This window comes from Homo sapiens, chromosome 3, assembly GCF_000001405.40.
Source record: "Homo sapiens chromosome 3, GRCh38.p14 Primary Assembly".
NCBI classification, from domain to species: Eukaryota; Metazoa; Chordata; class Mammalia; order Primates; family Hominidae; genus Homo; species Homo sapiens.
In genome coordinates this window covers 154887932-154915216 of record NC_000003.12, presented here as the reverse complement: position 1 = coordinate 154915216, position 27285 = coordinate 154887932, and the positions used below count along the sequence as shown (strand labels likewise).

At 37.3% G+C, this 27285-nt stretch overlaps 1 long non-coding RNA gene across 1 annotated transcript in view, besides 1 other annotated feature; it reads left to right on the top strand.

Moving 5' to 3' along the window:
* The window catches only part of LOC105374171 (uncharacterized), a 71200-nt gene extending 55049 nt beyond the window's left edge, over positions 1-16151 (top strand). The window contains exon 5 of the long non-coding RNA XR_001740568.2: positions 16120-16151. This is a non-coding gene — a long non-coding RNA (uncharacterized LOC105374171). The remainder of the gene's footprint in view (positions 1-16119) is intronic.
* Positions 26075-27274: an enhancer, noted in NCBI's record as "BRD4-independent group 4 enhancer chr3:154605732-154606931 (GRCh37/hg19 assembly coordinates)". NCBI's record gives its function as "activates an origin of replication core promoter dependent on BRD2, P300/CBP, MED14 and CDK7 cofactors, and independent of BRD4, by STARR-seq in HCT116 cells {active_cell/tissue: HCT116}" and the evidence as "EXISTENCE:reporter gene assay evidence [ECO:0000049][PMID:35650434]".

The following is a 27285-nucleotide window of genomic DNA, read 5'->3' as shown; positions in this document are numbered from 1 at the left end:
TCAAAATATATAATAAATTATTGTTGACTGTAGTCACCCTATCGTGCTATCAAATACTAGATCTTATTCATTCCATCTAACCACATTTTTGTTCCCATTAACCATCTTCACTCTCCACCCCACCCCGACTCCACTACCCTTCCCAGTCTCTGGTAACCATCATAAAACTCTCTAGCTGCATGAGTTCAATTGTTTTAATTTTTCTAGCTCCCACAAATAAGTGAGAAGTAACATTTGTCCTTTGTTATTTCCAAATATTGGCTATTGTGAGTAGTTTGATAATGAACATGGAAGTGCAGACATCTCTTCTTTATATTGATTTCCTTTCTTTTGGGTATATACCTAGCAGTGGGATTGATGGATCATATGGTAGTTCTTTTTTTTTTTTTTTTTTTTTTTTTGAATTTGGGATATGTTTTTTTTTTATTATACTCTAAGTTTTAGGGTACATGTGCACATTGTGCAGGTTAGTTACATATGTATACATGTGCCATGCTGGTGTGCTGCACCCACTAATGTGTCATCTAGCATTAAGTATATCTCCCAATGCTATCCCTCCCCCCTCCCCCAACCCCACCACAGTCCCCAGAGTGTGATATTCCCCTTCCTGTGTCCATGTGATCTCATTGTTCAATTCCCACCTATGAGTGAGAATATGCGGTGTTTGGTTTTTTGTTCTTGCGATAGTTTACTAAGAATGATGGTTTCCAATTTCATCCATGTCCCTACAAAGGATATGAACTCATCATTTTTTATGGCTGCATAGTATTCCATGGTGTATATGTGCCACATTTTCTTAATCCAGTCTATCATTGTTGGACATTTGGGTTGGTTCCAAGTCTTTGCTATTGTGAATAGTGCCGCAATAAACATACGTGTGCATGTGTCTTTATAGCAGCATGATTTATAGTCCTTTGGGTATATACCCAGTAATGGGATGGCTGGGTCAAATGGTATTTCTAGTTCTAGATCCCTGAGGAATCGCCACACTGACTTCCACAATGGTTGAACTAGTTTACAGTCCCACCAACAGTGTAAAAGTGTTCCTATTTCTCCACATCCTCTCCAGCACCTGTTGTTTCCTGACTTTTTAATGATTGCCATTCTAACTGGTGTGAGATGATATCTCATAGTGGTTTTGATTTGCATTTCTCTGATGGCCAGTGATGATGAGCATTTCTTCATGTGTTTTTTGGCTGCATAAATGTCTTCTTTTGAGAAGACATGGTGTTTTGGACATGAAGTCCTTGCCCACGCCTATGTCCTGAATGGTAATGCCTAGGTTTTCTTCTAGGGTTTTTATGGTTTTAGGTCTAACGTTTAAATCTTTAATCCATCTTGAATTGATTTTTGTATAAGGTGTAAGGAAGGGATCCAGTTTCAGCTTTCTACATATGGCTAGCCAGTTTTCCCAGCACCATTGATTAAATAGGGAATACTTTCCCCATTGCTTGTTTTTCTCAGGTTTGTCAAAGATCAGATAGTTGTAGATATGCGGCATTATTTCTGAGGGCTCTGTTCTGTTCCATTGATCTATATCTCTGTTTTGGTACCAGTACCATGCTGTTTTGGTTACTGTAGCCTTGTAGTATAGTTTGAAGTCAGGTAGTGTGATGCCTCCAGCTTTGTTCTTTTGGCTTAGGATTGACTTGGCAATGCGGGCTCTTTTTTGGTTCTATATGAACTTTAAAGTAGTTTTTTCCAATTCTGTGAAGAAAGTCATTGGTAGCTTGATGGGGATGGCATTGAATCTGTAAATTACCTTGGGCAGTATGGCCATTTTCACGATATTGATTCTTCCTACCCATGAGCATGGAATGTTCTTCCATTTGTTTGTGTCCTCTTTTATTTCCTTGAGCAGTGGTTTGTAGTTCTCCTTGAAGAGGTCCTTCACATCCCTTGTAAGTTGGATTCCTAGGTATTTTATTCTCTTTGAAGCAATTGTGAATGGGAGTTCACCCATGATTTGGCTCTCTGTTTGTCTGTTGTTGGTGTATAAGAATGCTTGTGATTTTTGTACATTGATTTTGTATCCTGAGACTTTGCTGAAGTTGCTTATCAGCTTAAGGAGATTTTGGGCTGAGACGATGGGGTTTTCTAGATATACAATCATGTCGTCTGCAAACAGGGACAATTTGACTTCCTCTTTTCCTAATTGAATACCCTTTATTTCCTTCTCCTGCCTGATTGCCCTGGCCAGAACTTCCAACACTATGTTGAATAGGAGCGGTGAGAGAGGGCATCCCTGTCTTGTGCCAGTTTTCAAAGGGAATGCTTCCAGTTTTTGCCCATTCAGTATGATATTGGCTGTGGATTTGTCATAGATAGCTCTTATTATTTTGAAATACGTCCCATCAATACCTAATTTATTGAGAGTTTTTAGCATGAAGGGTTGTTGAATTTTGTCAAAGGCTTTTTCTGCATCTATTGAGATAATCATGTGGTTTTTGTCTTTGGCTCTGTTTATATGCTGGATTACATTTATTGATTTGCGTATATTGAACCAGCCTTGCATCCCAGGGATGAAGCCCACTTGATCATGGTGGATAAGCTTTTTGATATGCTGCTGGATTCGGTTTGCCAGTATTTTATTGAGGATTTTTGCATCAATGTTCATCAAGGATATTGGTCCAAAATTCTCTTTTTTGGTTGTGTCTCTGCCCGGCTTTGGTATCAGAATGATGCTGGCCTCATAAAATGAGTTAGGGAGGATTCCCTCTTTTTCTATTGATTGGAATAGTTTCAGAAGGAATGGTACCAGTTCCTCCTTGTACCTCTGGTAGAATTCGGCTGTGAATCCATCTGGTCCTGGACTCTTTTTGGTTGGTAAACTATTGATTATTGCCACAATTTCAGAGCCTGTTATTGGTCTATTCAGAGATTCAACTTCTTCCTGGTTTAGTCTTGGGAGAGTGTATGTGTCGAGGAATGTATCCATTTCTTCTAGATTTTCTAGTTTATTTGCGTAGAGGTGTTTGTAGTATTCTCTGATGGTAGTTTGTATTTCTGTGGGATCGGTGGTGATATCCCCTTTATCATTTTTTATTGTGTCTATTTGATTCTTCTCTCTTTTTTTCTTTATTAGTCTTGCTTGCGGTCTATCAATTTTGTTGATCCTTTCAAAAAACCAGCTCCTGGATTCATTGATTTTTTGAAGGGTTTTTTGTGTCTCTATTTCCTTCAGTTCTGCTCTGATTTTAGTTATTTCTTGCCTTCTGCTAGCTTTTGAATGTGTTTGCTCTTGCTTTTCTAGTTCTTTTAATTGTGATGTTAGGGTGTCAATTTTGGATCCTTCCTGCTTTCTCTTGTAGGCATTTAGTGCTATAAATTTCCCTCTACACACTGCTTTGAATGCGTCCCAGAGATTCTGGTATGTGGTGTCTTTGTTCTCGTTGGTTTCAAAGAACATCTTTATTTCTGCCTTCATTTCATTATGTACCCAGTAGTCATTTAGGAGCAGTCTGTTCAGTTTCCATGTAGTTGAGCGGCTTTGAGTGAGATTCTTAATCCTGAGTTCTAGTTTGATTGCACTGTGGTCTGAGAGATAGTTTTTTATAATTTCTGTTCTTTTACATTTGCTGAGGAGAGCTTTACTTCCAACTATGTGGTCAATTTTGGAATAGGTGTGGTGTGGTGCTGAAAAAAATGTATATTCTGTTGATTTGGGGTGGAGAGTTCTGTAGATGTCTATTAGGTCTGCTTGGTGCAGAGCTGAGTTCAATTCCTGGGTATCCTTGTTGACTTTCTGTCTCGTTGATCTGTCTAATGTTGACAGTGGGGTGTTAAAGTCTCCCATTATTAATGTGTGGGAGTCTAAGTCTCTTTGTAGGTCACTGAGGACTTGCTTTATGAATCTGGGTGCTCCTGTATTGGGTGCATAAATATTTAGGATAGTTAGCTCCTCTTGTTGAATTGATCCCTTTACCATTATGTAATGGCCTTCTTTGTCTCTTTTGATCTTTGTTGGTTTAAAGTCTGTTTTATCAGAGACTAGGATTGCAACCCCTGCCTTTTTTTGTTTTCCATTGGCTTGGTAGATCTTCCTCCATCCTTTTATTTTGAGCCTATGTGTGTCTCTGCATGTGAGATGGGTTTCCTGAATACAGCACACTGATGGGTCTATTTTAAGTCTTTGGAGGAACCTCCATGCTGTACTCCATAGTGGGTGTACTAATTTACATTTGCCCCAACAGTGTTTGGGAGTTCCCTTTTCTCCACATTCTCACCAAAATTTGTTATTGCCTGTCTTTAGGATAAAATCCACTTAAGCTGGAGTAAGATAATATGTCATTGTACTTTTGATTGCATTTCTCTGATGATCAATGATGTTGCGCATCTTTTCATATATCTGTTTGCCATTTGTATGTCTTCTTTTGAGAAATGTCTGCTCAGATCTTTTGTGCATTTTTTAATTGAATTATTAATTTTTTTCTTATTGAATTGTTTGAGCTTCTTATATATTCTGGTTATTAATCCCTTGTCAGATGTATAGTTTGCAAATATTTTCTCTCATTCTGTGAGTTGTTTCTTCACTTTGTTGATTGTTTTATTTGCTGCACAGAAGCTTTTTAACTTGATGTGATCATACTTGTTCATTTTTGCTTTGGTTGCCTGTGCTTGTGGCGTACTAATACTCGGAAAAACTTTGCCTAGACCAATGTCCTGGAGAGTTTCCCCAATGTTTTTTTGTAGTATTTTTATGATTTCATGTCTTATATTTAAGTCTTTAATCCATTTTGTTTTGATTTTTGTTCATGGTGGGAAATAGGGGTCTAGTTTCATTCTTCTGCATGTGTACCAGTTTTCCTAGCACCATTTATTGAAGAGACTGTGTTTTCCCCAATGTATATTATTGACATTTGTTGAAATGAATTTACTGCAGAGGTATGGATTTATTTCTGTGTTCTCTATTCTGTTCCTTTGGTCTATGTGTCTGTTTTTATGCCAGTACCATGCTGTTCTAGTTACTATATCTCTGTAGTATAGTTTAAAGTCAGGTAATGCCACTCCTTTTGGTTTGTTATTTTTGCTCAGGATGCCCTTGTCTATTCTGGGTCTTTTGTGGTTCCATATAAGTTTTAGGATTTTTCTTTCCTCTGAAGAATGCAATTGGCATTTTGATAGAGATTGCATTGAATCTGTAGATTGCTTTAGATAGTATGAACGTTTAGCAATATTGATTCTTCCAATGCATGAACGTAAAGTATCTTTACATTTTTTTGTGTCCTGTTCAATTTCTTGCTTCAATGTTTTATAGTTTCCATTTTAGAGATCTTTCAATTCTTTGGTGAAATTAATTCCTAGGTATTTAATTTTATCTGTAGCTATTGTACATGGAATTACTTTTTAATTTCTTTTTCAGATTGTTTCCTGTTGGCATACAGAAATGCTACTGATTTTTGTGTGTTTCCACACTTTACTGACTTTTAAAAAAATCAGTTTTAATAGCTTTTGGTGGAGTCTAGGATTTTCCAAATACAAGATTATATCATCTGGAAACTGACTTTTTCTATTCCAATTTGGTTGCCCTTTATTTTGCTCTTTTGTCTGATTGCTCTGTCTAGGACCGCAGTACTATCTAAAATAACAATGGTGAAAGTTAGCATCCTTGTCTTCTTCCAGATCTTAGAGAAAAGATTTTCAATTTTTCCTCATTCAGTATGATTCTAGCTGTGGGTGTGTTATATGTAGCTTTTACTGTGTTGAGGTATGTTCCTTCTATACTCAACTTTTTGAGGGTTTTCATCATGGAGTGATGTTAAATTTTATCAAATGTTTTTTCAGCATCAATTGAAATGATCATATTGGTTTTGTCCTTTGTTCTGTTCACATAATGCATCACATTGATTGATTTGCATATTTTGAATCACCCTTGCATTTCTGAAATAAATCCCACTTGATCAGGATGAATGACCTTTTTAATGTGTTGTTAAATTCACTTTTTTAGTATTTTGTTGGGGATTTTTGCATCAGTGTTCATTAGAGATATTAGCCTGTAGTTTTCTTTTTTTGATGTACCTTTGTCTGTTTTTTTATATTACTGGCCTCGTAGAATGAGTTTGGAAGTATTTCTCTTCCTCTACTTTTCAGAATAGTTTGAGTAGGATTGGTATTGGTTTTTCTTTAAGTGTTTGGCAAAATTCAGCAGTGAAGCCATGAGGGCCTGGGTTTTCTTTGCTGAGAGACTTTTTATTATGGCTTCAATCTCATTACTTGTTATTGGTCTGTTAAGGTTTTGGATTTCTTCATGGTTCAATCTTGATAGGTTGTATGTGTCTAGGAATTTATCAATTTCTCTTAAGTTTTCCAATTTATTGGGTATGTAGTTGCTCATAGTAGCCTCTAACGATCCTTGGAATTTCTGTGGTTTCAGTTGTGATGTCTCTTTTTCTATCTCTAATTTTATGTATTTGGGTCTTATCTTTTTTTTAATTATTCTGGCTAAATATTGTCAATTTTATCTTTTCAAATAATCAACTTTTTATTTCATTGATCCTTTGTACTTTTTTATTTTAATTTCATTTATTTCTGCTCTGATCTTTATTATTTCTTTGCTTCTACTAATTTGGGGTTTGGTTTGCTCTTTTTTACTTCTGTAAGATCCATCTTTAGGTTGTTTATTTAAAATTTTTCTACTTTTTTGACATAGCCACTTTTGTTATAAGCTTTCCTCTTAGTCCTGCTTTTGCTGTATTCCATGAGTGTTATTATGTTGTGTTTCTATTTCTATCTGTTTCAAGAAGTTTTTAAACTTTCATCTTAATTTCTTTATTGAACCACTAGTCATTAAAGATCATATTCTTTAATTTCCATGTGTTCATATAGTTTCCGAAGTTCCCCTTTTTGTTGATTTCCAGTTTTATTCCATTGTGTTCAGAGAAGATATTTGATATGATTTCAATTTTTTTGAATATTTCAAGACTTGTTTTGTGACCTAACATATGGCCTATCTTTCAGAATGATCTAGGTACTGAGGAGAAGAATGTTTATTCTCCACCACTGAATGAAATATTCTCTTAATATCTATTTAGGTCCATTTGGTCTAGAATGCAGATTAAGTTCAGTGTTGCCTTGTTGATTTTCTGTCTTGATGATTTGTTAAATGCTGTAAGTGGTGTGTTGGAGCTCCCAGCTATTATTTTATTGGGGCCCATCTCTCTGTTTAGTTCTAATAATATTTGCTTTATATATCTGGATGCTGCAGTGTGGGGTGTTTATGTATTTACAACTGTTGTATCCTCTTACTAAATTGACTCCACTATCATTATATAATGTCCGCTTTTGTCTCTTTTTAGATTATTGATTTTTAGATGTTTCTTCTTTTCTATTATATGCATTCAGTGCTGTAAATTTCCCTGCAAGCACAGCTTTCACTCTATCCCACAAATTTTGGTAAACTGTATTATCATTTTAATTTAGTTCAAAATATTTTTTCACTTCTTTTTAGATTACTTCTTTGATTGCTGTTTTATTTGGAAGGTTTTTAAAATCTGTATGTATTTTGGTAAATACATGGGATTCTGCATGTATTTCCCAGCTATCTTTCTGTTATTGTTTTCTACTTTAATTTCATTGTGGTCTCAGGGCAGACGACAATTTACAGTTGTATTGTTTAAAATTTCTTAAGGTGCTTTCCATGACCCAGATAGTGGTGTATGTTACTGAATATTCCATGTGAACTTTAGGAAAATACATAATCTGCTATTGTTGGATGAAGTTATCTACAGATGTTGATTGATTGATGATGCTGTTGAGGTCAAATAGGTCCTTCCTTACTGATTTTCTACCTAAGAGTTCTGTTAATTAAATTAATAATGTTATTAAATTAAATTAATAATATTATTAAATTAAATTAATAAAGAATGTTATTGTCTCCAAGTATAATAACACATTTATTTCTTCTTTCAGTTCTATCAGTTTTGCTTCACATAGTTTGACACTCTTTAGTTAGATGTATATACCTTAAGGATTGTTATACCTCCTAGAAGCATGGACCCTTTTATCATTATATAATGCTCATTTTGTCCCTTATAACTTTGCTTGAAGTCTGTGCTGTCTAAAATTAATAAAATATATTAATATAGCTTGATAAATTAAAACATAATAGCTATGTTTTCTATTGATTAGTAGTAGCGTGGTATGTTTTTCACCTTCCATTTACTTTTAATTTATACATGTTTTAATGCTTAAAGTTGTGGACAACACACAGTTGGATCGTGTTGTTCCATTCACTCTGACTGACAATTGTTGTCTTTTTTTTTTTTTTTTGGAGATGGAGTCTCACTCTGTTGCTCAGGCTGGAGTACAGTGGCGCGATCTTGGCTCACTGCAATCTCCGTCTCCCGGGCTCAAGCAATTCCCCTGCCTCAGCTTCCAGAGTAGCTGGGATTGCAGGAGCATGCCACCATGCCCGGCTAATTTTTGTATTTTAGTAGAGACGAGGTTTCACTATGTTGTCCAGGCTGGTCTTGAATTCCTGACCTCAGGTAATCTACCCTTCTTGGCCTCCCAAAGTGTTGGGATTACAGGCGTAAGCCACAGCACCTGGCCAATCATTGTCTTTTAATTGGTGTATTTAGGCCACTGAAATTTAAAGTGATCATTGATATAGTTGGATTTATATTTATCCTATTTGTTAGTGTTTTGTATTTATTGCCATTGTTCTATCTTCCTATATTTGTCTACTGTACTTTTTTTATTTTTTTGCCTCTTGTGCTTTTAATTGAGCATTTTAAATGATTCTACTTTTTATGTTTTCTTAGTTATCAAGTATAGGTCTTTTAAAAATTTTATTTCTTTAGTGCTTGTTTTAGAGTTTGTAATATACATTTACAACCAATCTAAGTCCACTTTCAAATGACACAATGCCATTTAAGGAGTAGTGTGACTACTGTATAAAAACAAAATAGTCATAATTCTTTCCTCCTGTCTTATGTGTTATTGCTGTCATTTGTTTCACTTATTCATAAGCTTATGCATATTTACATGTATATGCTTATGTATATATATTCACCTAAGTATGCATAATTAAATACTTTGCTGCCATTATTATTTTGAACAAACTCTTATCTATTACATCAAGAATAAGAAAAATAGAAGTTTTTGTTTTACCTTTAGTTACTCATTCTCTGACATTCTTCCTTTACGTAGTTTCTGAAACTATATCATTTTCCTTCTTTCTGATACATTTCTTTTTTTATTAATTGCAAGGCAGTTCTGCCAACCAATTCTCTCAATTTTTGTTCAACTGAGAAAGCCTTTATTTCTCTTTCCTTTCAAGGATAATTTCACAGGGCACGAAATTCTAGGTTTGTATTTTTTTTCTCTCAACACTTTAAATACTGTTATATCTAAAATAGCTAAAATATTGTTTGAATATTTTATTTTATTATTTTTTTTGAGACGGAGTCTCGCTGTCGCCCAGGCTGGAGTGCAGTGGCGCGATCTCAGCTCACTGCAGACTCCGCCCCCCGGGTTCACGCCATTCTCCTGCCTCAGCCTCCCGAGTAGCTGGGACTACAGGCGCCCGCCACCTCGCCTGGCTAATTTTTTGTATTTTTAGTAGAGACGGGGTTTCACCGTGTTAGCCAGGATGGTCTTGATCTACTGACCTAGTGATCCGCCCGCCTCAGCCTCCCAAAGTGCTGGGATTACAGGCGTGAGCCACCGCGCCCGGCCTTGAATATTTTATTCTACTCTCTGCTTGTTTGCATGGTTCTTGGGGAGAAGTTTCATCTAATTGTTTGCTCCTCTATGGGTAAAGTGTTTATTTTCCCTCTACCTTCTTTCTCTATCTTTAATTTTCTGAAGTTTGAATATGATAGAACTAGGGTTTTTTGGGGGGTGGATGTGTCTTTCTTGGTGTTCTATAAGCTTCCTATTTCTGTAATTTGGTGTCTGACATTAATTTGAAATTCACAATCATTATTGTTTTAAATATCCTGCTCCTTTGCTTCTTCTTCTCTAATATTCCAGTTATTCATATTTGTACCTCTTGCACTTGTCCCACAGTGCTTAAATATTCTTTTCTAGCTTTTTGTCAGTCTTTTTCTTCTCTGTTTTCAGTTTGTAGAAATTTCTATTGCTTCTATTTTGCCTCTCTTAGAATTTCTCTCTCTGCTTACATTTTTTATCCTTTCTTGCATGTTATCTACTTACTTTATTAAAGCCCTTACTATTTGGATCATAGATTTTTTTAAAATCTTGAATTTAGAAGTCTAGCATTACTGTTATATTTGACTCTGGTTCTGATGCTTATTTGATTGCTTCACACTGTGATTTTTGCCTTTTAGTATGCCTTGTAAATTTTTGTTGAGAGGTAGACATAATATATCGAGTAAAATAAACTGCATTAAATAGGCCTTTAGTATTATGGTGTAAGGTGTGGGGGCAGAAAAGGCCTTCAAGAGTCTCATCAGCAAATCTCCATCTTTTAGTGAGTCTGTGCCACTGGTGAGCTTCAGAAGTGCTTCTCAGGTTTCCTCCCACATTAATATTAAACAGGAGATTTAGAGGGAGTTGGAGCTGGGTATTTCCTTTTCCCACATGGAAGGCTAGAACCACCTCGAGTTAAGTGTTCCCTTCCTTTGGGCTTGTTAGGCTCTGATTACATCCTAGTAGGTTAGGCTCTGAGAAAAACAGAATGCTTTGGTGTATTTCAAAGTGGTTACTTTTTATCTCCCCCTGCTGGAAGCAGGAAGGGTTTTTTCTCCAATATTCATGGTGCTGACCTGGTAGAGCTCCTGGAGGTGAAACGCCCAGAAGTATGAGGGGTTCCCTACAACTAGGTATCCTTGGAGTTTTCAGCTTTCAGCCTTGTGCACACTGATTCTTCAGTAATTTGTTAGTTATGTTTCTTACCTCAGTGCTAGTTTCTGAAGAGACTTTTGCTTCAGTTAGTTGTTATTTTCTGAATCTACCTATATCTTCAATTTGGGAGGAGTGGCTTGCCTTGTGATCTTGCTTCTCTGACAGATCTAAGAAGAGTTGTTCATTTTTCAGTTTGTTTAGTTCTTTACTTGCTTTTTTTAAGACACAGTGGTGACTTCTAAGTTCCTTATATGCTGCACCAGAAACCAGAAGTCTCTTCTATTTTTATTCCACTTTAATAAGAGGTAGAGTAACTCACGTTTCTGTTATCATATTTAAGGGAAACACATTCTGTCTGCTTTTCTGCTTATTGGCCAGATGCTTTTATTTACTTATTCATGCAAGAAATATTGGTTGAACACCTACTGTGCATGTCAAGCATTTTTCTAGGAGCTTTGGATTCATGATGTCAAAGCAACTCCCTTTTATATTGATTATAAGAGGGATAATCTCCAACGTAGTGAAATAGCTTATTCATGTGTTGATTTTTAAAAATATATGATTTTTACATTCAGATTAAGCCAATGCCTAGTGAAATACCTTTTTTTTAAATACTTTAAATTCTGGTGTACAGGTGCAGAAAGTGCAGGTTTGTTACACAGGTATACACGTGCCATAGTGGTTTGCTGCACCCATTAACCCATCATCTACATTAGGTACATGATCTACATTAGGTATTTCTCCTAATGCTACCCCTCCCTTAGCCCCCTACCCCCCCCAATAGGCCCTGGTGTGTGATGTTCCCCTCCCTGTGTCTATGTGTTCTCATTGTTCAACTCCCACTTATGAATGAGAACATGTGGTGTTTGGTTTTCTGTTCCTGTGTTAGTTTGCTGAGAATGATGGTTTCCAGCTTCATCCATGTCCCTGCAAGGACATGAACTCCTCATTTTTTATGGCTGCATAGTATTCCACAGTGTATATGTGCCACATTTTCTTTATCCAGTCTATCATTGATGGGCATTTGGGTTGTTTCCAAATCTTCACTATTGTGGATAGTGCCACAATAAACATATGTGTGTATGTGACTTTACACAAGAATGATTTACAATCCTTTGGGTATATACCCAGTAATGGGATTGCTGGGTCAAATGGTATTTCTGGTTGTAGATCCTTGAGGAATTGCCACATTGTCTTCCACAATGGTTGAACTATTAAAGACTTAAATGTAAGACCTAAGAACATAAAAACCCTAGAAGAAAACCTAGACAATACCATTCAGGACATAGGCATGGGCAAAGACTTCATGACTAAAACACCAAAAGCGATGGCAACAAAAGCCAAAATTGACAAATGGGATCTAATTAAACAACAGAACTTCTGCCCTGCAAAAGAAGTGAACTTGCCACTTACAGAATGGGAGAAAATTTTTGCAATCTATCCATCTGACAAAGGGCTAATATCCAGAATCTACAAAATACTTAAACAAATTTACAAGAAAAAAAACCAACCCCATCAAAAAGTGGGCAAAGGATATGAGCAGACATTTCTCAAAAGAAGATAAGTGCATAAATGCAGCCAACAAACATATGAAAAAAAGCTCATCACCACTGGTCACTAGAAAAATGCAAATCAAAACCACAATGAGATACCATCTTATGCCAGTTAGAATGGTGATCATTAAAAAGTTAGGAACAACAGATGTTGGAGAGGATGTGGAGAAATAGGAATGCTTTTACACTGTTGGTGGAAATACCTCATTCTATATGAATAAAAGAAAGTTATGACAGCTTTGCAGTTGAAACTGACAGCAGTGATTTTAACAGTCTTAGGGATACAGTGAGTAAACATAAGAATTATTATATTGGTATCATGTCTAACTAATACAATACAGCTTATTATTAAAATGCATTTTATCTGCTACAAAATTATACCTTTGCTAGAACAGACATATCTTTGCAATGATTGGCTGATGCTGAATCTCTGTGTTGTAGACCCAAGTCAAATTGGTTAGCATCTTCAGTAATTATTTTTCCATGCAGCATAATGACGCTGACTTCCAAGGCCTTCATCAGAAAGCTAAAGCCAGTTTTATTCCCCCCACTGATATTATTCCTCTAAGAATTACATTTTAATATTTTGCTTGGGTGTTTTTTTCTGGCTCTGTTTAAGTGTTTACTTTTTAATAATAAGTTTTAAATGCATTTTGAATTTAATTGCTATTTTTGTTTTGATAGTACATGATGAGTGCTTGCTGTCTTGTGGTTTTCTTCATCCCACTACTGTTTATTGATTTTATCTATTCTCATTGATATGTCTAGTCAATCAATGTTGATTCAATAAATGACTTGTTTTAGTTATACTTGGAGATATCAGACTGTAATATTGTGCTCTTAAACATGTAGAAACACCATCAGGGGCATTAAGAGATAGTGTAATGTAATGCTTATATGCAGAGCTCTGGAACCAGACTCTCAAGGTTTGAATCATTATTCTTTGCGACTTTAAGCTGATGTGTGTGTTTGGCTTTCTGCATATAAAAATGAGATTTGTATTACAATCCAGCTCATGAACTTCTTGGAAGAATTAAATATGTTAAAATATGTGAAGTGCTGAGAACAGTGGCTAACCCACAGTAAATGCTATGTAAATGATTATTATATAATTTCAAATTTAATTTTGTTTTCCTTAATGCACTTTTTCTTTCCCTGTAATTTGACTTGTATCTTGCATAGTCATTCTCTGTTCCAAGACATTTAGTTAAAAGATTATAGTTTTGTTAGGAAAGAGTGGTTTCTGTGGAAGTACTAGAATACATCTTAGAATCTTTCAATGCCAGGAGTTGCTAGAGAGACTCTTTAAATATCACAGAACTTATTTTATCTTACAAGTTCAGAAAAAATTCAAGTTATGGAAATCTGACTCCCATACAAAAAATTTGTGTTTTCCGCCAAAGTATTCCTTGTGAGTGACTGTTACGTGATTCTACCTTCTCTCATGTCTGAATAAGATCAGCACTTAGTTCATGGCCTAACATCCAATAAATTCTGTTGATAGACTGACTGTAATTTTCTCCAACACTGTGTACTCCAGTAATTTCTACAGGGTCATCCTATTAGGATCTCTGTGAGACTCTTAAATATCTTTGTCACGCCAGTGAATGTCCTTAAATACATTTGTGCCATGAAAAACATTTTCTGTGCATTCTCTGACAGAATATTTGCAAGAATAGGCCTTGAACAGAGGATAAAATCTAAGGGAAAGAGTTTTCAGAACAAAAATGCGTTCTTAAGGAATTTCTGGGGAGAGTTCAATTCCATTACTTAACTATGTTTTTTGAAGGGCATACCAATGCCAAGATATGAAATAACCAGGAAGAATATTACTGAGGTGATGACAAACTTTTCCAGTAATAGCCAAAAGTGATACAACTTTCTTCCAAACCAAACTTTGCAATATTTTTAAAGGAAGGCTTGGTAACATTGCAATATCTAGAAGAAAATGAGAAGGTAGGAAGCCATCCTCCCTAGTGACTGATTACACTCCAGACACTGTGGAAGACTGAGAGCTATCTAGATAGGCAGTTTAAGGTGAGATGTCTCAGATGTGCAAGGAATGTTGAGGTGTCTGATAAAGAAAACACATTAAGACAGTGATATATAATTAGTGCTTTGGAAATTAATGTTCTCCTTATATTCATTTACTTAGAAATAAGCAGCATTCAAAATGATAACAGAAAACGTTAAATCAAAACAATAATCTAGGATTAGAGTCACAATGTAATAAGACATTGTCAAGATGAAGAATATAAAAGTGCAGTTAATTTTACAATAAAATTAAAAATTAACACAAAATTGTGCATTAGAGCTATTATCAATGACATTTATATTTTTCTATTTATTATAAAATTGAGCTACTTGGAAGTGGATGTTAATTTCCACTTCCAAGGTGCACTTGAAAGAACCATATCTAACTCAGCTTTGAACATTTAAAGTATTTGACCATTAAAAAAATTAATAAATGACAGCTAAACATTTTCAAAAGGCTTTGTGTCCACATTATTTGAGGGAAAAAATACAGCCTTCACTATGAACAGGCAGAAAATATTAAGTTTGTTCAAATTAGTTGAAATGGAATTTGAAAAATGAATTTCTTTATCACTGTAATGACTGGCTTCTGCTGTTGCCAAAAAGATGTAAAATTCGTCACACCTCACAGTGTGATTGTCCCTGCTGGGTGTGGCTGAAGCAGTGGAATTCTTGGTCCCATATTCACTGAGCAGGGTACTTCTCCTGATACAGGTGTCTCTCAGAGGTTGGGACAGTGACAGGAGACTCTTCTGGGAGGCACAGAGGAAAAACCTGGATTCCTCCGTCAGCCACCCAGCTCTACCTAGCTATCAGTCTACAGGACCCATGAAGCAACATCATGCCCAGAAAGGCAAAAAAGAGATAGAATGCTGAACTTTGTGGCTTTTTAATTTTGAGAACTATATTTGGTTTCATACAACTCTGATTCTTTTGAATTTGTGTCATCATCTTAACACAGTGAACACAGCACACACACACACACACACACACACACACCCCATTTGGTTTACATTCTCCTAATCTCTATTCTATTAAAGTATTGATTATATCATTACAATATTATTAGTTTATTTAAATCTTTAATCATTCAAAACCTATTTTGTTTTTCCTACTAATTTATACAATTGCTTTTATTGATTTTTGCCTTTTTATGCAGTCTAATTCTCTTTTATAAATTTGGTTTTGCTTCATCTTGTCTATTCTTATTCTGGTTTCTTATTTGCATTCTTATGTGTTGGTATCTTTTCTCAGCTTACTTCATTTTTAAAATTACAAGTGAATGTACTGTATTTCCCTCCCATTAAAAATATTTTTATTACTCTCCTAGCTTTTTAAATCACAGGCAGGAATCATGGCCTATGCTATAAAGTGGGTGCTATAAAGTTAATTTGTGCCCCAGGAAGGAGACTAATGATTTTTGTCTATGTCTTTCTGGCCTTTTAAACATGACCAACCTCCTACCCAGTTTAAATTGGCAAAAAGTTTTATAAGTCAATTAAATAATAAAACTGTAAGCCTCACTTATAAAAGTATTCAACTCAATCTTAGGATTCAAATTATCACACATATGTAAATTTAGGCCTTGCTTTTTATATTACTGGTAGTGAAATTTTCTTATACATTCTAATCAGTGGCTTTGTGTACTTTTATTGCCTTGTACCTAAGGCTTGTTTGAACATGTTTTATATATTTGAATTTTACTTTCACTTACTTATTTTAGATTGGAAGGAGTAATGCACAGGATCAAGAGGAAAAATGGAGAAAATATTCCCTCCAGTCTTTAATAAACAAACAAAGAAGAAAAAGAAAATTCACTACCAAATCATACATTTTCTTCCAACCGTAAAATGAAATAACAGTTTCTTCTAATTCAGTTGTCATAATCAAGTCTTCAACTTCCATATACAACATAGGAGAACAAGTTTGTTCGTGAGGCCACAGGGGAACTTGATGTTAACAGAAAAAAGATGTGAACAAAGCCCAAGGCAAATGTACAAAATAAAGGTGGAAACTACCTACTAAGAACTAGAACATGGTTGGGATTCAATGAGAACGAACACAAAATTCACCCATTCATATATAATGATTTTTGCAGATGTTAGTTAATGATTTTCACTTCTGCAGTTTTTGCAAGTCCTGGAATTCATCAGATCTGGAAGGAAACATTTCAACAGTTCCCAGAGAATTTCTGGCCTACCCATATTCAGGAAGTTATGTGGGTCTCATGAGGAATCCTGTTCTTGTAACAGTTATGGTCCACTTTGTAAACTCGGAAGAGTTGAACTAGGGTCAGCAGCAACTACTGTTTATTTGTTGCCCAGTAAGTGCCAGACAGTGTTAAGCACTTTACACATATCGTGTTATCTATGTCTTCTGACAAGCCTATTAAGTAGATATTATTATCTCTATTTTATAATGAGAACCCTACAGCTCAATTAACTTAACTCAAGGTCACACAGCCAGTAAGTGGCAGAGCTGGGACTGGAATCCAGGTCTTAAAGACTATATTCTTAACCATCAATTAATACTGCCCCCCAACTTCCTGAATGTTTATTTAAACTCCATGAAGAGCAGGCATTTAAAATTGTATTGCTAAATATTTTCAAGTTAACCTTGAATTGCTTGGGAGATGAGCAGATATGATATAGTTTGGCTGTGTCCCTACTCAAATCTCATCTTGAATTGCACTCCCATAATTCCCATGTGTTGTGGGAAGGATCTGGTGGGAGATAATTGAATCATGGGGGCAGTTTCCCCCATACTGTTCTCGTGGTAGTGAATAAGTCTCATGAGATCTGATGGTTTTATGAGGGGTTTCCCCTTTTGCTTGGCTCTCATTCTCTCTTGCCTGCTGCCATGTAAAATGGCCTTCTGCCATGATTGTGAGGCTTCTGCAGCCACGTGGAACCTCTTTTTCTTTATAAATTACCCAGTCTCGGATATGTCTTTATCAGCAGTGTGAAAATGGACTAATATAAGATACATTTGGAAAAAAATTCTTCAACATCCTTATTGTCATTTTTAGTATCATTTAAAATTCAGTGATAAATGGTACCATTTTAAGATCTATGGGCAGGGACAGCATAGAAGCCATAGCTACTAACTGAAAAGGATATAAAATACCAAGTTATAAAGCCAAAAATTTCAATCTGTAAGAGTTACACACGGTGTAATACATCATATTAAAATTGTACAAATCACAAGAGGTTAAATATCCACAAGCATAACTTTTCTTTAGGGTTCAGAGCTTGCCCTGACTTAAGCATTTTTAGGGTTCTGTATCTCTTTCCTTGACCTTTCCCCTTACCCTCTTTTGTCATTCTCTTTCCTTCTACTTTAATGAAAATTGCTCAAGAAAGAATTCTTAAACAAAAATTTAAAATATTAGTATATTTTTATCTAAAATACCTAAATACATAGAGTCAAAACATTTTTCTGTATAAAAATCTTAGATTCAAGGGCAGGGTAGAAGATTCTTCTGTTAGCCTCCAGTTTTCAGATAACAAATTCTAGCCACTTCTTTTTTTATATCTCTAAAATAAGAAAACATCTCTTTTATTTAGGCTCTTACTTCTTCTAATCTGTGTGTTATTTCCACTTTCACTAACTCCTCCTGCAGGTGAAATATCCTTCTACAAACCCATTCCTTTGCTCTCATACTGTTAATGTCTACATGGATTGGTTTTCACTTGTCCTCTATTAGAGAGTTGACCTGCAGGCCCTTTGGCAAGCAGCACGGTTCTTTTATCTTTTTTTTAATATACTTTAAATTCTGGGGTACATGTGCAGAAAGTGCAGGTTTGTTACATAGGTATACACGTGCCATGGTGGCTTGCTGCACCCATCAACCCATCACCTACATTAGGTATTTCTCCTAATGCTATCTGTCCCCCAGGCCCCCACTCACTGACAGGCCCTGATGTGTGATGTTCCCCTATGTCCATATGTTCTCATTGTTCAACTCCCACTTATGAGTGAGAACATGCAGTGTTTGGTTTTCTGTTCCTGTGATAGTTTGCTGAGAATGATGTTTCCCAGCTTCATCCATTTCCCTGCAAAGGACATGAACTCATCCATTTTTATGGCTGAATAGTATTCCATGGTGTATATGTGCCACATTTTCTTTATCCAGTCTATCATTGATGGGCATTTGGGTTGGTTCCAAGTCTTTGCTATTGTGAATAGTGCTGCAATAAACATACATGTGCATGTGTCTTTATAATGGAATGGTTTATAATCCTTTGGGTATATACCCAGTAATGGGATTGCTGGGTCAAATGGTATTTCTAGTTTTAGATCCTTGAGGAATCGCCACACTGTCTTCCACAATGGTTGAACTAATTTACACTCCCACCAACAGTGTAAAAGCATCCCTATTTCTCCACATCCTCTCCAGCATCTGTTGTTTCCTTACTTTTTAATGATCGCCATTTTAACTGGCATGAGATAGTATCTCATTGTGGTTTTAATTTGCATTTCTCTAATGACCAGTGATGATGAGCATTTTTTCATATGTCTGTTGGCTGCATAAATGTCTTCTGTTCATATCCTTTGCCCACTTTTTGATGGTGGTGTTTGTTTTTTCTTGTACATTTGTTTAAGTTCTTTGTAGATTCTGGATATTAGCCCTTTGTCAGATGGATAGATTGCAAAAATGTTCTCCCATTCCGTAGGTTGTCTGTTCACTCTGATGATAGTTTCTTTTGCTGTGCAGAAGCTCTTTAGTTTAATTAGATCCCATTTGTCTATTTTGGCTTTTGTTGCCATTTCTTTTGGTGTTTTAGACATGAAGTCTTTGCCCATGCCCACGTCATGAATAGTATTGCCCAGGTTTTCTTCTAGGATTTTTATGGTCATAGGTCCTATGTTTAAGTCTTTGATCCATCTTGAGTTGATTTTTGTAAAGTGTAAAGAAGGGGTCCAGTTTCAGTTTTCTGCATATGGCTATCCAGTTTTCCCAACACCATTTATTAAATAGGGAACCTTTTCCCCATTGCTTGTTTTTGTCAGGTTTGTCAAAGTTCAGATGGTTGTAGATATGTGGTGTTATTTCTGGGGCCTTTGTTCTGTTCCATTGGTCTATATATCTGTTTTGGTACCAGTACCATGCTGTTTTGGTTACTGTAGCCTTGTAGAATAGTTTGAAGTCAGGTAGCGTTATGCCTCCAGCTTTGTTCTTCTTGCCCAGGATTGTCTTGGCTATGTGGGCTCTTTTTTGGTTCTATATGAAATTTAAAGTAGTTTTTTCGTAGCTTGATGAGTATAGCATTGAATCTATAAATTACTTCGGGCAGTATGGCCATTTTCATGATATTCATTCTTCTTATCAATGAGCATGGAATATTTTTGCATTTGTTTGTGTCCTCTTTTATTCCTTGAGCAGTGGTTTGTAGTTTGGCTTGAAGAGGTCCTTCACATCCCTTGTAAGTTGGATTCCTAGGTATTTTATTCTCTTTGTAGCAATTATGAATGGGAGCTCACTCATGATTTGGCTGTTTGTCTGTTATTAGTGTATAGGAATGCTTGTGATTTTTGCACATTGATTTTGTATCCTGAGACTTTGCTGAAGATGCTTATCAGCTTAAGGAGATTTTGGCTTAGACAATGGGGTTTTCTAAATATACAATCATGTCATCTGCAAACAGAGACGATTTGACCTCCTCTCTTCCTATTTGAATACGCTTTATTTATTTCTCTTGCCTGATTGTTCTGGCCAGAACTTCCAATACTATATTGAATAGGAGTGGTAAGAGAGGGCATCCTTGTCTTGTGCCAGTTTTCAAAGGGAATGCTTCCAGGTTTTGACCATTCAGTATGATATTGGCTGTGGGTTTGTCATAAATAGAGATACGTTCCATAGATACCTAGTTTATTGTGAGTTTTTAGCATGAAAGGGTGTTGAATTTTGTTGAAGGCCTTTTCTGCATCTATTGAGAGAATCATGTGGTTTTTGTGCATTATTTCCACTTTCACTCACTCCTCCTGCAGGTGAAATATCCTTCTACAAACCCATTCCTTTGCTCTCGTACTGTTAATGTCTACATGGAATGGGTTTCACTTGTCCTGTATTGGAGAGTGGACCTTGGAGGCCCTTTGGCAAGCAGCACAGTTATTTTTATTTATTTTTCTATTTTTTTTGAGACAAAGTCTGACTCTGGTGCCCAGGCTGGAGTGCAGCGGCATGATCTCAGCTCACTGCAACCTCTGCCTCCCAGGTTCAAGTGATTCTTTTGCCTCAGCCTACTGAGTAGCTGGGATTACAGGTGTGTGCCACCATGCTCACTTAATATTTTTATTTTTGGTAGAGACAGGGTTTCACCATGTTGGCCAGGCTGGTCTCAAAGTCCTGACTTCAGGTGATCCACCTGCCTTGGCCTCCCAAAGTGCTGGGATTACAGGCATGAGACACCGCACCCAGCCTAGCACAGTTCATTTTTGTTCAGCAATCATTTATTGAAGCGTTTCTATGTGCCAGACAGTGTGTTTGGTGTTGGGGGTGTAATAACTAAAAAGACATGGCCTTTGTCATAGGAGCACTCACAGGTCAGTGGATGAACTTTTCCTGCTTGACTAACTCTTGTTATTTTCTGGTTCCCACACTCCCTCCAAACTAAACCTTTCTTTCTTTTGCCACTTATATTTAGTTAAGCTCAGAGACATTAGCTGAGAACAACGTCTGAGCACTTTGGAGTTTCCTCTATTATGTCTCTCGGAAAAGGGGTGATATGGTTTGACCCTCTGTACCCACCCAAATCTCAGGTTGAGTTTCCAGTGTTGGGTGAGGAAACTGGTGGGAGGTGATTGCATCATGGGGGTGGAGTTCCCCCTTGTTCTCGTGATAGTGAGTGAGTTATCACGAGATATGATTGTTTAAAAGTATGTGGCACTTCCTTCTTCTTCTCTCTGTCTTCTGCTCCACCATGGTAACACACGCTTGCTTCCCCTTCGCCTTCTGCCATGATTGTAAGTTTCCTGAGGCCATGCTTCCTGTACAGCCTGCAGAACTGTGAGTCGATTAAAACTCTTCTCTTCATAAATTACCAAGTGTCAGATTTTTTTTATAGCAGTGTGAGAATGGAGTAATAAATGAGATTTCCCCTGAAGTTTTCTTCTCATAAACATCAGCTTGTTCTAGCAACATTTTAACCCAGCTTCTCTGGCCAGTGTACTCTTGTAATTGCTTTAATTTTACTCTGCTGGCTTCCAAGTGAGATTATTCTTTTTAATGAAAGGAAGCATATAATAAATAATAAGTAGACATTTTATAGGGGGAAGGTTTGGTACTTTTCTGCCTTGAGAGCTGAAGAATTGCTGTCTTATTAGAGGGCAGGTGGTAGTTAAGAATAAAGGTCCTGGAATCAGGTTGCATGGGTTCAAATCGTAACTGTGACTATCCCTAGCTGTGACCTTGGGCCATTTATTTCAACTCTCTGGGCTTTATTGTTCTCTTCTGCTACATTGGGTTAATAATAGGGCCTTCATGTCAGGGCTGTGGGGAGGAATAAGTAGGATTTAGAAGAGCCACATAAAATGCTCAATAATATTATCTATTATTAAAAGCAAGTCCTATTCTTTGATGACCTCAATAAGGATTGATTTGAAATTAGCCTAGGATGTAAAATTTGCTATGTTCCCATGTATTAAGATCACCAAAACATTATTACACAAAGCATAACTTCTAATGACTTCATCTAGTATTTCAATTTGGGAAATATATTCTAAGAAAATAATTCAAGATGAAGACATACTTAGGTACAGAAATATTAATCACATTAATTATTCAAAAGAGCAAAAAGGCACTTCTGGATGTAACTTTCATTCAGAGAGTAATATACTTACAAATATTACATAAAATTTATATATTATATAAAATTATAGAGAATTTCCACAAATGTACTTGTAATGTCCATTATTTTATTAATAATATACAATAACATAACTTATTTAATAAACATTCATTAAAACTATATTTATAAAAATTCTCTAATGGATGGAAAAGACTTACGACAAAACAGGTTAAAAAAGATAATAAAATGTGTATATTGTACATGCTAAACTCTGAAAAATAACACACACAGAAGAGAAATGCAGCAAATTTTTCTGAGCAGTTAACTCTTTCTTGATGGTAAGACTATGGGTAGTCCTTCTATTTATCTGCACTGAAACAAATTTATTAATTTATAATATGGATGAAAAATATTTTTAAATGTTAACATGGATAACCCCAAGTTGTATAAAATGGCATTTAAATATTGAAACCCAGTGGGAATTTTAATTATGTTAAGTCGGTAAGGGATTCCTAAAATATTTGAAGGTGGGAGCTGCCTGTTTTTTAATAATCTTCTTCACTTAATAAAATGGTTTGTACTCTGTGAACACTTGTTTTGTGATTGTTGACATATCTAGAGATTGGTTGGCTAAATCTTCAGACATCTAAATTTTAGTAATATCAAGCAGAGCAAATGGAAAAATTAAGAGTTCTTAATTATACATCTGAATCTTTTTTCTGGTTCTTTATTTTTATTTTTTATAAATGAAACTATTGGGTCTGATAAAAATTAGTGCACTATATATTGTGTATTTTTACAAAGCTAGTAGCAGACGTAATAGGAACAAGAGAGAAACCTTGAAGTACTGAGGGAGACAAATGTGAGGATGAAGCCATCAGAGGTGATAGTAAAAGGTCTGAAACTGGTAGTTGGTAGCATCCAGGACATTTGGGGGCTGTGCAATTTCCAAAACCACTGAAAATTCCCTTGGAGAGTGAAAGATACTAGATTTCTGCTATTGGACCTAGAAAGGGGAGGTAAAGGTTAGTTGGCCTGCATCTACTATAGCATCTCAAGAACAGACTCATCAGATTTGTCGTCACTGCCTGAGAAGATCCAAGATGACACCTTAAGGTTCTGGAACAGGCAAAATAAGTGGAGTCAGAAGATAGTTAGGAAGCTGCAAAACCACTGCTGGCTTTAACTTCCTCAGGATCCCAGAGCCCTTGTCCTGTTGCTCCCCTTCCTTCCAGGAATAGATACTGTCATGTTCAAAGGGCAGAACTGGGACCACCCTGGTTCTGATTTATGTCCACAGCACTGCCTCTATGTTCTCCCATACACTGTTCTCTTTTCTTGTGCTTGGGCTTCAAGCTCTCATCTAGAAGGTATGAGAGCAAACAAAGAATGGTAGAAGAAAACTTCAATTTTGGCAGGAAAAGGCACAACAAAGAGATTCTCAACAAAGATAGCAGAGACTCTCTAGATAAACCTGAAGATTTTAATGTGGATTGAATTATTTCCCTTATATGTAAAGACATCCTTGCTTCTAAAGTGATTTCTTTTGCTGCTTTCAGTTTATCACCATTATTATCAGTATCATTGTATAGTGGCTTACAGTGCACAGAATACTTTCATATATATTATTTTATGTATGTAAAGTTATTACTAGCTTTTTACAGATGAAGAAATCAAAACTTAGAAATGACATGATTTTCTCCTGTAAAAAAGTCAAATTCATATGCTTTGACTCTTGTTCATCTGTTTGGTCCTAGAACTGACATACACTATCATGTCAATTGTCCCAAATGACAAAAATCCTGAGACTTAAACTGTATTCCCATTAAGTCACGTCCCAAATTATCTAAATCTTCCTTTGGATACTTTGTCAGTCTAATACTCAAGGCTTATAAAACTCAGGCAAGTCTAAGAAGAATAGAAAGAATTCTACTTTTTTTCTTTTGCTTGTGTTAAGAATACTATTTTAATTTATTTGCACTATCCCAAAGTGGCAGGCTTGGCAATATTCTGCTCTGAAGCCTTTCTTGATATATTTTCCATAAATATACACTTTCCCAAAATGCTTCTACTTTGGTAGCAAAAGAGAAGAAAAATGTTATTTTAGGCCCAGAAACAAAGACTATGAAGGTTATGGGCAAAAAAAATATATATTGTGCACAGTTCTCCAAATCTTAACATAGGTCCAATAAACATTTCCAGTTCCCAGACTGCCTTTTGGCTCTCATCAAAGAACTCTAAGCCTGTTTTTAACTCAAAAAGACCTCCTATACCCTGATAATACCCTTGGTATCAGATTTTAAAAACATAGAGTTGTCAAGTGTCAACATTTTGTGGAGAGGAGTCAAATTAGCATTTCCTCCTGAGAATTTGCGCCAGCTTTTTCTGTTACTGACTCTGGCACTCAAAGAAAGCAAGGATGTTTGTTACTCCTTAGACCTAGATGAGAAAGAACTCAGCTCTGTTGCTTTGAGGGGAGGGTAATATTACTTGATGGCAAAAGTGAAAAAGATATGAAAACTCCCAACTTTGGCAGGATTTAATTTTTTTCTCCATCTGTGTTGTCTCATTCAGCATAATAAAACAAATCTTAGAAGGTTATTGTCTTTGTTAGGGCTGCTAGAACAAAATATCTTAGACGAGGTAATTTATGAGTAGGACAAATTTATTGCTCACAGTTCTTACCGGCTGGAAGGTCCAAGATCAAGGCACCTCCAGATTCAGTGTCTGGTGAGGCTTGCTCTCTACTTTAAAGATGGTGCCTTGTTGCCATGTTTGCCATGTCCTCATGTGACCTGAGAGGCAAACAAGTTCCCTCAGGCCTCTTTTTTACAAAGGAACTAATCCCATTCACTAGGATTGAGCTCTCATAACCTAATCAACTCCACAAATCCGCATCTCTTAATTTCTACCACATTGGGGATTAGGCTCCAATGTATGAATTTTGGGGAGACACAAACATTCTGAACATAGCAGTTGTAACAAAATTTAGTAAAACTGTATCAATTTTAGATTTACTGAAACATATTTTTATAGGATTTTGTGTTTTTGATTCAAACATTTATTAAGTACCTATTCTCTATAAGGCACTGTGGGAGGTTAAAAATACGACTTTTTCAACCACACTCCTCTGATAAGCTTTCTCTACACCTACCCCAAGACGATGTAAGATCATAATCTATATGCTTCAATGGTAGCCAACATTTACCTTGATCGTAAGTCATTCTGAGAGGTGACAGCATGCTGGCAGCGCTCGCAGCCCTCCCTCGCTCTCGGCGCCTACTCGGCCTAGGCGCCCACTCTGGCCGCGCTTGAGGAGCTCTTGAGCCCGCCGCTGCACTGTGGAAGCCCCTTTCTGGGCTGGCGGAGGCCAGAGCCGGCTCCCTCAGCTTGAGAGGAGGCGTGGAGGGAGAGGCGTGGGCGGGAACCCAGGCTGCGCGCGGCGCTTGTGGGCCAGCGCGAGTTCCGGGAGGGCGTGGGTTCGGCGGGCCCCGCACTCCGAGCGGCCGGCTGGCGCCGCCGGCCTCGGGCAGTGAGGGACTTAGTAACTGGGCCAGCAGCTGTGGAGGGTGCACCGGGTCCCCCAGCAGTGCCGGCCCGCCGCCAGTGCTGCACTCAAGTTCTGGCAGGGCCTCAGCTGCCTCCCTGTGGGGCAGGGCTTGGGCCTGAGACTCCCCCATTCCCCGGCCGCCATGGGCTCCTGCACGGCCTGAGCCTCCGGACGAGCTGCGCCCCCTGCTCCGCAGCGCCAGGTCCCATCAACCACCCAAGGGCCGAGGAGTGCAGGCGCACGGCAGGACTGGCGGGCAGCTCTGCCTGTGGCCCTGGTGCAGGATCCACTAGGTGAAGCCAGCTGGGCTCCTGAGTCTAGTGGGGACTTGGAGAATCTTCATGTCTCTCTAAGGGATTGTGAATACACCAATCAGCACGCTGTGTCTAGCTCAAGGTTTGTAAATGCACCAATTAGCACTCTATGTCTAGCTGATCTGGTGGGGACGTGGAGAACCTTTAGGTCTAGCTGAGGGATTGTGAATACACCAATCAGTACTCTGTATCTAGCTCAAGGTTTGTAAATGCACCAATCAGCACTCTGTATCTAGCTCAAGGTTTGTGGATGCAACAATTGGCAATCTGTAGCTAGCTAATCTAGTGGGGACTTGGAGAACTTTTGTGTCTAGCTCAGGGATTGTAAATGCACCAATCAGCAGCCTGTCAAAACGGACCAATCAGCTCTCTGTAAAATGGACCAATCAGCAGGATGTGGGTGGGGCCAGATAAGGCAATAAAAGCAGGCTGCTGAGCCAGCAGTGGCAACCTGCTGGGGTCTCCTTTTGCAGCGTTCTTTTGCTCTTTGCAATAAATTTTGCTGCTTGTCACTCTTTGGGTCCACATTGCCTTTATGAGCTTAACACTCACCGCGAAGGTCTGCATTTTCTCTTGAGGGCAGCGAAACCACGAACCCACTGGGAGGAATGGACAATTCCAGATGTGCTGCCTTAAGAGCTGTAACAGTCACTGCGAAAGTCTGCAGCTTCACGCCTGAAGCTAGCGAGACCACGAACCCAGCAGAAGGAAGAAACTCCGAACACATCTGAACATCAGAAGGAACAAACTCTGGACATGCTGCCTTTAAGAACTGTACTCACTGCGAGAATCAGTGGCTTCATTCTTGAGGTTAGTGAGACCAAGAACCCACCAATTCCTAACACAATTCAAAAAGTATTTACTGAAGGCCTTCTAAGTGTCAGACGGTGTGCTAAGATCTTGAGAGCCAACATCTTCCCTACTATAGCTGTGAGCAACCCAAAGACTGAGATTCAAATGAAAAATATTAATACATTAATTGAAATGGTACTGGCTAAGTTTCAGAACAAAAGGGGAAAGTGTAGACCCAGGGAGAGAGAGGCACTAGGAGTTCATGTGGCAGGATGTGGTGGGCAGTTTCTTTTTTCTTTTTTTTGAGACAGAGTCTTGCAAGCCTTGTCACCCAGGCTGGAGTGCAGTTGCACCATCTTGGCTCACTGCAACCTGCACCTCACGGGTTCAAGCAATTCTCTTGTCTCAGTCTGCAGAGCAGCTGGGATTATAGGTGTGCACCA